Source organism: Homo sapiens, chromosome 7, assembly GCF_000001405.40.
Source record: "Homo sapiens chromosome 7, GRCh38.p14 Primary Assembly".
NCBI classification, from domain to species: domain Eukaryota; kingdom Metazoa; phylum Chordata; class Mammalia; order Primates; family Hominidae; genus Homo; species Homo sapiens.
Genome location: NC_000007.14, coordinates 131,741,996 through 131,755,733, shown reverse-complemented (window position 1 = coordinate 131,755,733; position 13,738 = coordinate 131,741,996). Strand labels below are relative to the sequence as shown.

The 13,738-nt window shown below is 41.8% G+C and overlaps 1 pseudogene, besides 1 other annotated feature; it reads left to right on the top strand.

Moving 5' to 3' along the window:
- Nucleotides 1,439-2,086, top strand: NDUFB9P2 (NADH:ubiquinone oxidoreductase subunit B9 pseudogene 2; annotated as a pseudogene).
- Nucleotides 9,797-9,997: a silencer, noted in NCBI's record as "peak6729 fragment used in MPRA reporter construct". NCBI's record gives its function as "represses an SCP1 promoter by STARR-seq MPRAs in K562 erythroleukemia cells {active_cell/tissue: K562}" and the evidence as "EXISTENCE:reporter gene assay evidence [ECO:0000049][PMID:32103011]".

The window sequence follows — 13,738 nt, the reverse complement described above, 5'->3', positions numbered from 1 at the left end:
AAAAAAAGTATAATCAAAAGCTAATTTTTTTCAAAAGATGAGTAAAATTGATAAACCTCTAGTTAAACTGCAAATTACTAATATTAGAAATTAAAGAAGAGCTATTTCTACTGATCCCATAAACATTAAAGGTATAATAAAGGAATATAAACAACTCTATGCCTACAAATTTGATAAAATATATGAAATAGGCCAATCCCTTGATGGGAATAAATTACCAAAACTCACACGAGGAGACATAGAATATGAATAAACCTATATCTATTAAAGAAACTGACTCAATAATTAATAACCTTCCAAAAAAAGAAAATACCAGGTCCAGATGGTTTTACTAGTGAATTCTACCAAACATTTAAGGGAGAAATCATACCAATTCTCTATTATCTCTTTCAGAAAATAGAAGCAAACAGAACATTTTCTAACTCATTCTATGAGGTCAGCATTGTCCTAATATCAAAACAAACCAGTGAAAGTCATTATAAGAAAGAAAAACTGCCGGGCGCAGTGGCTCACGCCTGTAATCCCAGGACTTTGGTAGGCTAAGGCGGGCGGATCACGAGGTCAGGAGATCAAGACCATCCTGGCTAACACAGTGAAACCCCGACTCTACTAAAAATACAAAAAATTAGCCGGGCGCGGTGGCGGGCGCCTGTACTCCCAGCTACTCCGGAGGCTGAGGCAGGAGAATGGCGTGAACCCGGGAGGCGGAGTTTGCAGTGAGCAGAGATCGTGCCACTGCACTCCAGCCTGGGCAATAGAGCAAGACTCTGTCTCAAAAAAAAAAAAAAAAGAAAAGAAAGAAAGAAAGAAAAACTACAGGCCAATATTTTTCATGAACCCAGATGTAAAAATTCTCAGCCAAATATTGGTAAATCAAATCCAACAATGTAGAAAAAGAATTATACACCACGACAAATGAGATTTATTCCAGGTATGCAAGGCTGGCTCAACATTCAAAAATTACTTCAGGCCGGGCATGGTAGCTCACGCCTGTAATCCCAGCACTTTGGGAGGCTGAGGCGGGCGGATTGCTTGAGGTCAGGAGTTCAAAATCAGCCTGGCCAACGTGGTGAAACTCCGTCTCTACTAAAATACAAAAATTAGCCGGGCGTGGTGGTGTGTGCCTTTAATTCCAGCTATTCGGGAGGCTGAGGCAAGAGAATCGCTTGAACCTGCGGTGCAGAGGTTGCAGTGAGCCGAGATTGCACTGCTGCACTCCAGCTTGGGCGACAGAGTGAGACTCAGTCTCAAAAAATAAATAAATAAACAAAAATCACTTCATGCAATCCATCACCTCAACAGGCTAAAGAAGAAAAATATATAATCATATCAATAGATGCAGAAAAAACATTTGACAAAATCAAACACCCATTCATGATTTAAGGAAAAAAATCAGTGGACTAGGAATAGAAAGAAACTTCCTTACCTTAATAAAGAAAGTCGCCTGGCTACCCTCGAGGCCGCTGAAGGTCAGCGCAGTCGTGGCGTTCTCCACGCCGGCTGCCTGCCTGACCCATCAGCAGAAGGTGTTGAGGCTTTAAAAGTGGGTGCTGTGCCACCTCGAGTTGTGTTGCATCCACAGGGACAAATACCGATACTTTGCTTGTTTGATGAGAGCCCAGTCTGAAGAACATACGAACGAAAAGGATATGATGAAGGCCATCCGGCTGCTGAAGGAGGCTGAGGAAGAATTCTGGTACCATCAGCATCCACAGCCATGCATCTTCCCTGACTCTCCTAGGGGTACCTCCTATGTGACACACGAGTGCTACAAGGTCCCAGAATGGTGCTTAGATGACTGGCATCCTTCTGAGAAGGCAATGTATCCTGATTACTTTGCCAAGAGAAAACAGTGGAAGAAACTGCGGAGGGAAAGCTGGAAAAGAGAGGTTAAGCAGCTGCAGGAGGAAACGCCACCTGCCGGAAAGGAAGGTGATTTGCCCCCACTGTGGTGGCATATTGTGACCAGACCCTGGGAGCAGCCCGTGGAGAGAGAGAGAGAGAGAGAGAGACCTCCTCTTTCATGCTTGCTAGTGAAATACGTTACAGAACATACACTTGCTCTAATAAAAAATCAGTGAAATGGAAAAAAAAAAAAAAAGAAAGCTTGCCAACCCCTACAGCTAATATTATATTTAATGATGAAACTAGATGGTTTCCCCTGAAAATCAGAAACAAGGAAAGGAGGTTTCCTCTCACCACCCTATTCAGCATCATACTAGAAGTCCTAGCTAAGACAGTAAGATAAGAAAAGAACAAAAAAATTAAACAGATAAAGAAGGAAGAAATAAAACTGTCTTTGTTTGCAAATGTGATGATTGTCAATGTTGAAAATTCCAAAGAACTGACCAAAAAACAAAAAAAAAGTCTTGAAATCAAAAAGCAGTTACAGCAAGATTGTCGATACAAGGCTAATATACAAAATTTAATTGCTTTCCTATATACCCACAAGGAAAAAATGGATTATAAAATTAAAAATTCATCACTTATGTCAGCACCAAAAAATTGAAATACTTAGGTTCTAATCTAACAAAATAAATATAGAATCTATTTGGGGAAAACAATACAAGTCTGATAAAAAATCAAATATCTAAATAAATGGAAATGTGTTCCATGTTCATAGATAGGAAGACCCAATATTGTTAAGATGTCAATTTTTTCCAACTGATCTATAGATTGAATGCAGTCTTAATCAAAATCCTAACAAGTTATTTTGTGAAGATCAAAAAAAGATTTAAAGTTTATATGGAAAGGCAAAAGACAAAATAATCAACACAATACTGAAGAAGCACAAAGTCAAAAGGCTGATATTACCTGACTTTAACACTGCTAATAAAGGTACAGTAATCAAGACAACATGATATTGGAGGAACAATAGAAGAATAAATCAGTGGAACATAAAAGAGTCCAAAACAGACCCACATAATACAGACCACCTATCTTTGACAAAGGAGCAAAGGAGATTCAATGAGGAAATAGTAGATTTTTAGGCCAAGCGTGGTGGCTCACACCTGTAATCCCAGCACTTTGGGAGGCTGAGGTAGGAAGATGGCTTGAGCCCAGGAGTTTGAGACCAGCCTGGGCAATATAGTGAGACCGTGTATCTACAAGGTTTTTTAATTAGCCAGGCATGGTAGTACACACCTGTAGTCCCAGCTACTCAGGAGGCTGATTTGAGAGAATCACTTGAGCCTGGGAGGCAGAGGCTGCAGTGAGCCGACACCACACCACTGCACTCCAGCCTGGGCGACAGACTGAGAATCTGTCTCAAAAAAAAAAGAAAAAAAAAAAAAGATATCGTAGATTTTTAAATAAATGGTACTAAAACATTGGATATCCTTAGAAAAAGAATAATCTAGACACAGACCTTCCTTCTACTTTTCACAAAAAATTAACTCAAAGTGGATCATAGACCTGAATGTAAAACTATAAAACTTCTAGAAGATAATGTAGAAGAAAATCTAGGTGACCTTGGGTTTGGAGATTAGTTTTCAGATTAAAAAAAAAAAAGAGGAATACAGAAAAGAAAAAATATTGGCAACTTAGATTTTATTAAAATTCAAAACTTCTGCTCTGCAAAAGAAACTTTTAAGAGAATGAAAAGACAAGCCACAGACTGGAAAAATATATTCACAAAACACATATCTGATAAAGGCCTTGTAGCCAAAAGGGGAAAAAAATCCTTAAAACTCAATAATAAGAAAATAAACAACTCATTTTAAAAACTGGCAAAAGACCCGAACAGATACCCCACCAAAAAAGATACACAGATGGCAAACAAGTATATGAATAGATGCTCAACATCATATGCCATTAGAGAAGTGCAAGTTAAAACAACGAGATACCACTAAAAACCTATTCTAATGGAAAAACAAACCTGACAATACCAAATATTGGCAGGAATATTATTCAGTGGCAATGCAAAATGGTGTGGCCACTTTGAAAGATAATCTGGTGGTTTCTTACAAGGCTTAAACATAGTGTTGCCATACAATCCAACAATCACACTCCTAGGTATTTACCCAACTGACTTGAAAACTTTGCCCACATAAAACCTAAAAACAAATGTTTATAGAAGTTTATTCATAACTGCAAAAACTGGAAGCAACCAAGGTGTAACTCAATAGGTGAATGGATAAGCAAACCATATTCTATACAATGAATATTATTCAGTGACAGGAAGAAAGTCCTATCAACCCATGAAAATATATAAAAGAAATTTAAATGTGTATTGCTAAGTGAAGCCAGTCTGAAGGGGACACATACTGTATGATTCCAACTATATGACGCTCTGGAAAATGGAATACTATATAGACATTAAAAAGTCAGTGGTTGCCAGGGGTTCTGGGTAGGGGAGGGATTAGCTAGTGAAGCACAGAAGATTTTTAAAGCAGCAATAGGATTCTGTATACTATAATTATGGGTATATGACATGCATTTGTTGAGACTCACAGAATTGTACAATGCAAAGAGTGAACCTCTATGTAAACTATGAACTCTAGTTAATAATAATATATCAGTATTGGTTCATTAATTGTGACAAATATACTACACTAATGTATGAAGTTAATAATAGGGAATATGTCAGTAGGGGAGATACATGGAAACACTGAACTGTCTGCTCAATTCTTCTGTAAATCTTTTTTTTAAGACAAAATCACACTGTTATTCGTGTTAGAGTGCAAATGAAGCAGCATGATCATAACTCACTATAACTCAAACTCCTGATCTCAAGCAATCTTCCTGCCTCACCCTCCTGAATAGCTAGGACTACAGGCACATGCCACCACATCCAGCTAATTTTCTTTCTATTTTTTGTACAGATGGGTCTCACTATTTTGCCCAGGCTGGTCTTAAACCCCTGGCCTCAAGGGATCCTCCTACCTCAGCCTCCCAAAGCACTGGAATTATAGGCATGAGCCGCTGTGCCTGGCCATTCTGTAAATCTAAAACTGTGCTAAAAAATAAAGTTCATTAATTTAAAAAAAAAAACTTAATGGTTTAAAATAACAATGGTTTATTTCTTGATCACACTTTATGTTCATGCCAAAATTGGCTGCTTTTTCCTTATTCAGGAAACTGGTACAGACTTATTCAGGGGCAGCCTGGTTGATGAAAATCTCGTCTTGAATATCACCAGTCTTCATGAAAGAGTGGAGAAATCGTTCAATCATTCTTAAATATGATGCACCAGAGAAGGCACATTGCTTCTGCTCACATTTCATTATGAGTAAGTCATCCAGCCACACCTAGCTTTAAAAGTGGTAGGAATGCAATTTTATCATGTGCCCAGAAAAAGAAAAATCCAAATTCTAGTCATTAGTCCTAATGACTACCACCCCTTGTTTCCTAGTTCCTTCTCCTGGTCCAACATCATCACGAGGACACTTGTGCACAGGACACTTTTGCGCCAGCACATAGAAACACATTCTGGCTGCTCAGAGGCAAAGGCTCTCCAAGCCCACTGATCCTTGCTAGTGTCATTGATATATCTCGAGCAAGCTCCACCTGCTTAATTGCTTCTTCACTCTGAAATCCCTCCTGAAAAACCTAGCGCTTTTATGAAGTTCTTCCTTGGCTTCATACCCTCAGTATCAATTTACAAGAGGGAAAAAGTCCAAAGAGAAACAGAAGAAACATTGGGAAAAGTATGCCTCAAAAAGCCTTTGTAGGTAAGCAGATCAAGGACCTCTGTACCAGCTTTCACTCCATTGAGTGTTGCTCAGCAAGGGGCTTGACCTGTCTCTTCACCTGCCACCACAAAGGCAGATGGCAGGCTACAAAGGACACATTCATTGTAAAGAATTATAAAGTCTCATTCTGTTCACAGTGGCCAAGAATGCCTTGAGCATTCAAAACCTGAGATGTGTGGAAGAAAAAGTGTGACAAGGACTACTTGATTTGCATGTGACAAATTTAACTCAAACCAGCTTAAGCACAAAGAGAATGCCAAGAATTCCTGTCCAGATTCAGAATTAAGGAATTAATTTGAAAAATATCATTAGATCTCTATCTCTATCTCTCTCTCTCTCTCTCTCTCTCTCTCTCTCTCTCGCTTTTCTGAGTTGATTTTATTCTCAGGCAATTTTCTCCCGCATGCTAAAAAATTCGCTTAGGGTGTGATATGGTTTGGCTGTGTCCCCACCCAAATCTCATCTTGAATTGTAGCTCCCATAATCCCCATGGGTCATGGGAGGTACCTGGTGGGAGGTAATTGAATCATGCAGGCAGGTTTTTCCCATGCTGATTTCATGATAGTGAATATGTCTCATGGGATCTGATGGTGTTATAAAGAGCAGTTCCCCTGCACATGCTCTCTTGCCTGCTGCCATGTAAAACGTGTTTCTGTTCTTCCTTCACCTTCCACCATGATTGGGAGGCCTTCCCAGTCATGTGAAACTGCAAGTCCACTAAACCTCTTTTTCTTTATAAATTATCCAGTCTCAGGTATTTCTTGAGAACAATATGAAAATGGACTAATACAGGGAGTTAAATCTATCCCAAACTTTCAGAAAGTTAGCTCTTTCAGGAAGAGAGAGACAGAGACAGAAGCACAGAGAGAAAAAGAATACCTCTGCCACTGGTCCCAGCAAAGTCCTGGAAGAATGCTGAGGATTCTAGTTGATCAACCCCAGGTCACATAGGCCTCCTTGAACTGATTGCATGGTCACTGTAGCTTGGTCCTATAGCATCAATATGGAATAGACTTCTTGTTGGAAAAAGATGTTTCTGTTTCCAGAGAAAAGGAGGAGAGGAGAGCTACAACTACCAGAGCCAACAACAGTAAGGGGACAGAATCAAGTAAGCACACAATCATGTGCAAGCACGTACATACTCGCATTCAGGCAGCCCTTCCATCATCAGACTGCCCATCTTAGAAACGGGTTATGGTTCCAGGATTGTCTAAGGCTGAAGACGATAGAACCGCTCCTCCAGAGCTATAGCCCTGCTGCCTTCCTCCACGAAGATGGGACTTGCCTGTGCTCGCTCTTCCAGTGTCTCCCTGGTTGAACACCTCCCTTAGTAATTTGCATACCAACCTCGCACCCCACAAGAGCCTGTGGTTATCTTGAGGAAAATAATGGTTTCTGTTTTTCTTTGCATTCTATCACATGGTCCAGGGATAGTCTTTCAGCCAGTATTGAATGAATGTCTGTATCTCTGGATGCATAAATGGACAGAATAAAGAGCTTCTAAGAAAGTAGAATATACAGTCCCTGACTCTGGGATCTTTTTACTCTGTCAAGGACAATTAGAATACCTCTTAACATAACAGAACAGATTTAAATAAAAGCCACAAGAATAAATTAACTCCATAAGATTTGAATCAGATAATGATCAGAGGATGCCAAGTAAAAGTGTAAACAAAGTCAGGCTTCCACAGTTATCAAGTGCACTTGGAGACAGCTCTTCTTTCTTATTATTTGTGCTCAAATCTTATTCGTGTCAGTAATGTGATTCTCAAATGGGAGGGACACATGGTGAATGCAGAGAGCAGCTTGGATTGGAAGAGCCCATGGTGCTTTATTAGTACAGAGGAACAAACCCTAGGGTTCTGATTCCTGCCCAGGCCTAGAAAAGTCTACCCCTCTTTCCTGGCCACCAGTATCCCACTAATCCCAACAGTCCTCCATCTGGGAGTAGGTAATTTCTCCATTTGCAGAGAATAAGAGTCCTTCCCATCCTTCCTCCTCTGACATATGCAGACTACACATTAGCATGGTAATGTCTCATGCCATTAGTGAGTAACGTGCTGAATAATTAGGCTATGAAAATCTAACGGCAGGGATTTTTGTTTTATTAGCAATTTTCCATCCTATTGTGTTAATTTCATCTCATGTCAGCTGGCTTTCTAAGTAAACAATGATCACAGGCAGACATCAGTTCTCAGCACATTGTGCTGCCGTGGGTGACTTAACAGACCAGGAAATGGCTTAAGTTGCCTTTTGTCTTGCAGTCTCTGCCTTCTGTTGATGTCACAAGATCTCTAGTCCCTGGTTTCTTATGACCCTAGAATATTCATTTCCTCTTTGTGTGTGTCTTTCTCTGCCTGTCTGTTCTCAATCTATCTCAATATCCTTCTTGCTCATCTTTGTTTTTCTTCTCCCTCTTTTATGCCATCTCCTCTCCAATACCTCTGTGTGCCTACCTGTAATGACATTGCACTTTTCAATACCATTTTATTTTCAAATAATTCTCACATCCATCTTGCATCTTCTGCCCCCACTTCATTTTTCCATATACCTTCTTTAATGTCTCTCACTTTCCTCCCCAATTCATCTGCTTTTCTTTCCACTTGACTATCTTCTCAGCATTCCTTCCTTCACCTCCTGTACTCTTCATTTGGCCTAGCTCCTGGAGTGCTATCTTTCAGCCTCTCACCACCCTCCATCCCCCACCCCTCCATACACACACACACACACACACACACACACACACACACACACACCTCATTTTCTCCTTCCTGCTCACCAAGATTCCTGGCTGACAGGTGATTAATATTGGGCCCAGGCATGCTGGAAAGTTTAATGCTTTTTCTGTGATATCCCCACAGTCATGAAACATCTGCAAGTTTCTCCCAGAGCTGAGAAAAAGTTCTGTTACTTAATACATTGTTGTTGTCCAAATTACAAAAGCACCTGCCAAGTCTCTAAGAAAGATCATGGAGAAAGGTATTGGCAGCATTTACCTGGGTCACCACATGGACAGAGTTGATGAAGAAGGGTCATTCTTGATCAAAAGCTCTTCTTTCATTCTGTTCCTTTCTGTCTGATTCCAGGAGAGGAGGAACCTGGATTCCCCCAAGGCAGGATCATGTTTACTGACTCTATCCAAATATCCAGGCCAAAGAACTAGAACAATGAGGTAATATCTCCTTCAAAAAAAGATATGGCTAAATGTCAATAACTCAAGCACTCAAACTATGCATCCACAGAAGACCAATAACCCAACAGGCTGCTGTCTGGGGCAGCAGTTGGGGACAAGCCAAAGCAATGTATAATTTTTATAATTAACCCACAAAATGTAACATAGTTGCCCTTCCTGCTAAGGGCCATAAATATTGTCCCTTTGATTTTATTCACCCTTGCCTCCTCATCATTCAGCCACATATCCCCACCCCTCCTCTATAATGCTCAACATATAGATGGCTATTTGATGTCTCAAAAAATCAACCGGCTTAATAAATGAGATTTTAGCCCTGAAAATACTGTCATGACTCCGATGAAAAAGAGATCCAGAAGAGGATACAAGAAGCTTTTGAAAAGCGCCAAGGCCCAAAATGATCTGAGATATTTGCAAATCGGTCCCGTACCCACAACTGTGCAGCAGTGAGAATTACAAAAGAGATTGGAGAATAATTTCTGTGATCTCAAGAAAACGTTGATTAGACAAGAAAATAGGATTAACTCTTAGATTGTGTGAAATAAGCTACACATATAACACATGCATTTTAAAAAAGATAGCTAATGTAGCTCCATGAAATCAAAGGTGATTTAAGGCAGATTTTAAACATTCCTGCGTAGAGAAATAAAACAATCAAAGCACAAATGTGGAAATGTGAATGGCCTGGGATCACAGAAAAGGCAGCTTTGCTGCTATGAGCAATGGACACTACTCCACTCCTGGGCACTTCCAGCTGCTGCCCCGGCACAGCGACCTCTCCAGCATCACGCCAGGACTGAACCACTGAAACCATTATGCTTAGTGCACAGTGAACCAACCTTAGAACGAGAAATGGGCAAGCCAATCTCACTTCTGCCACACCTTCTTCCTCTCAGCTCTCATCGCCTGTCCATACCAATATCCTGCATCAGACATACAGACACCCGCCATACTGACTGCTGCACTAGCGAGGATCACCTTGCACAGACGAGTTCACCCTGCATTCAGCACATCAGCATTCAGCACCACGGCCAGTGCCTACGGCAGCAGAAGGGAGCGAAACCCAGAAGGGGCAGCAGAAAATATAATCATTCTCTCAGTAGTCAGCCACAGGGCTCCTATTTCTTTCTCTTGTTTCTGAAGCTTTTTCCCTCTGGGTCCACGCAGGGCTACTGCATCTGGGTATCCATAAAAATTGACTGTGTTGTACTAACATATTCTCTGATTAACTGGTAGGAGAAGAGAAGGGAAAGCACCCCTCCCCTCCACTACATATGTGCATAGATCCCTCCCTCTCTAAGAAGCTGGCTGCATTTGACAAATACTGGAAACTCCTTCCCACCTCCTGCCTTTTAATGACTAAGAGAGCAAGACCTGTAGTCAAGCTGTCTTCTCTAAGCTCGACCGCATGGTAGCTGTATAACCTTAGGCAAGTCACCTGCAAAATGAAGATAAAAATAGTACCTATCTCATCGGCTTTGCTGTTATTATTGTCATGATCGGTGCTGTCATCTGGCCACACTGGTCACCTTGCTGTTGCTTGAACATACTGCTGCCTCAAAGTCTTTGCATTTGCTATTTCCTATGCTTAGAAGCTTTCTCCAAAATAGCCATGTGGCTTGCTCCCTCACTTTCTTCTAATTATCAGTAAGACTTTCCCTGATTATACCCTATAGTACCTCTCTCTCCACCACTCCCTACCTCCCATTCCTGCTTTATTTTTTTTTCCTAAAATGTATTACTTTCTGATATACTAAATATTATTTTTATGTTTGTGTTTTCTCTATCCTCTTTTAGAATGTAAGCTCCATGAAGGCATGAATTATGTTGTGCTCACTTGTATCCCTGGTGCCATTAAACAGTACCTGGCATGTAGCAGGTATTCAAAAACACCAGGTGAATGCAGTGTTATTATTATTATCAAAATGATTATTCTGGGATGATTTTCTCTATTTTATACAGGAGCAAACTGAGACATTTAAAAAATGTGGCCCACCTATAAAATGCAAGCAAGTAGAAGAGCAGAAAATAATGAATTGAGAGCCAACCTTTCAATCTACTCCACCAGAGCAGCCCATAAGCTAATGAAGTGTTCAAAATGCAGCTTGAGAGAAGTTCCCCATACCTTGAAGAGAGCCCTTGGATAACCATTTTCAATCTCCTCCACCCCTCCTCAGAGCCCAGCCTGGGACCCTGTGGAGACTGCTGAAGGTTGGCAAAGCTCTAAATCTTCCCTGGTCCAATGTACATCCCAGAAGGATCCTACTCCCATGGGTCTACCTGGCTTCAGGCCTTTGACATGGGTCTTGGTGAAAGCTAGGCACACTCAGCACTGAGAAGGCCATGCCACCAGTGTTCTAATACATCAGAGTTCATCTCAGCTTCTTCTCCTCCCAACAGAGTCTCATGCTCAGACTCATGCTCTTCCCTCAGCCAGGAGGTTAGCAAGGTGAAGGGCACAGGGCAGGGATCATTCTGAATCTCCTGCAAAAAGACTTTGCTTCCAAAGTGGCCAAAGTCCCCAGTGGAATCTGCCGATGAAGTCCTTGCCTTAGAGTCAGGATTGAGGGAGGAGATTAGCCCGATCCCAGGATGAAGTCACATGAAAACCTCCTGCACCACGACTGTGCCAATGAAGAAGGGCCCCACTGGGGCACAGAAAATTCCAGATTTGTGCTGGCAAAGCCCACCTGAACAGCTATTTTTTTCCCAACACTGAGGCTTGCGGGTGAAATAAGAACACTCGGGACAATACAGGTTAAGGAATAAATGAGAGATAGAAAACTCTGGTTCTGCTACAAGAAGGCCTTTAAAACCAAGCTCAATTCCATAAAAGTGAGTCCTGTGAGAAACATGAAGACAGAGTCACAAACCAGGTCACTATGCGCTAATGAGGAAGTCAAAGGAGAACCTCCATGACCCAAAAGTCACAGGCTCCACATCACACAAAAGAATGGCACACTGCAATTTGTGCAGCACCAACCGGAGAGCTTGTTAAAAATGCAGAATCCCTGAGCTCCACCCCAGACCTGCTGAATCAGGATCTCTGGGGCTGGGCCTGGGAATGGGCATTTTAACATCCTGCCCAAACAAGTTTTGTGCAGGATGAGTTTTGTTTGTTGTTGTTGTTGTTGTTGTTGTTTGAGACAGAGTCTCACTCTGTCACCCAGGCTGGAGTGCAATGGCATGATCTCACCTCACCACAACCTCTGCCTCTCAAGTTCAAGCCATTCTTCTGCCTCAGCCTCCTGAGTAGCTGGGATTACAGGCACCTGCTACCACACATGGCTAATGTTTTATATTTTTGGTAGAGATGGGGTTTCACCATGTTGGCCAGGCTGATCTCAAACTCCTGACCTCAAGTGATCTGTTCACTTCAGCCTCCCAAAGTGCTGGGATTACAGGATTGAGCCACCACACCCAGCCCATGCTGAGTTTTGGAAGCATAAATGCATTGCCCTGTCGAGGCACAGCAATTCAAATCACTCCAGCAAACCTTTGTGAGACCTTCCATGTTTTGGACTCTCTGATAGTGGCTGGACTTCCTGGCAGTTTGGTTGGGAAGAGGGGGTGACTTGGGTATCCTCTTATCCATACAATGGTCAAACAACAACAAAAAACTTTGGGAAGGTTGGGAAGAGCAGCTGAAAAGCTTCATGGATTGGGGCAAAAGAAGAGAGGAGATGCTGCGTGGTGTAGCAGAGAGGCCTGCAGAGTTAGAAATTGGCAAATTATCTGGCCTTGGCCCTTAGGTCAGACTTGGATCTCATCCTCAGAGAACTAGGGTACCCTCAGCGTGGGTGACAGGTGGGTGGGAGGGAGAGGCCAGGTCACTCTGGGAGATTGGTACCAACCTCGTCCCACATCTCAACATGTACATCGCTTTCAAATTTATCTCTTTCTTCCTTCCTACTCAGCTATGTAGAGAATCACAGATGCACAGAAACTTCTGTGTGAAAGGAACTTAGAGGTCAGCCAGCTCAGGCCTCATCCAATATAGTCCTGATGTTTGTCTCTGTTGTCCTTTTCTTTCCTGCTAGTGTGAGGTCTACCCAGGTCATCCAAATAAGATACACACTTGTTTGCATTACTTAGCAGCAAAAAGGTGTTGAGCCATATTCTAGAGGCAGTAAAATCCACAGTGAGGACCTGAATCTATCCAAGGTCTGGCACCTAAATGGCTGATAGAGCTCCCCCACTTCCCCAGGAAGGACTAAAAGGACTGTGTGGAAGTACAGCTTCCCCCAGAGTGTCCTAGGGACATACTGTGTTTCTTTGGATTATTTTGATGTCCTTTAAGCATGCTTTTAAACTTTGCTTCCCAAAAGGTACTAACACTACAAGTGAAGTCATTTCTGATTTTAGCTCATCACCTCTAGCCACTGTCATGAACCCAAGAGGCCTAAATTCAAGATCCTGTATAGTTAAGAAATTTCAATGAAGAAGCAATGGCTTGGGATTAAGAAACCTGCTTTAGCCATTGACATACTATGATCTCCCCAGCCTCTGTATGTGAATCTGGAAAATAGGGCGGGTATGGCAGCTCCAAGTTTGTCGGCAACAGTACATGAAACCATGCATTCTCTACCATCAGAGCTCCCAGAAGAGAGTGCAATATGCATGCCAGGTGGTGTTATTAGTGACATACTCAGGTGCTTTCTACAGTTTGTGATTACTACTAAAGGGTAATAGTTAACTGTGTCACCTTCTCAAGACAACACCAAGCAGAATGTCCTGGCATTAAAGGAATGAGCTGCTGCTCCCATCTTTATCTGGATTTTCAGCATTTGCATTGGCTTGCTGATGACAGCAGATAGTGCTCAGAGAGTTTGTTCCAAGAATATTAATTGGCTTC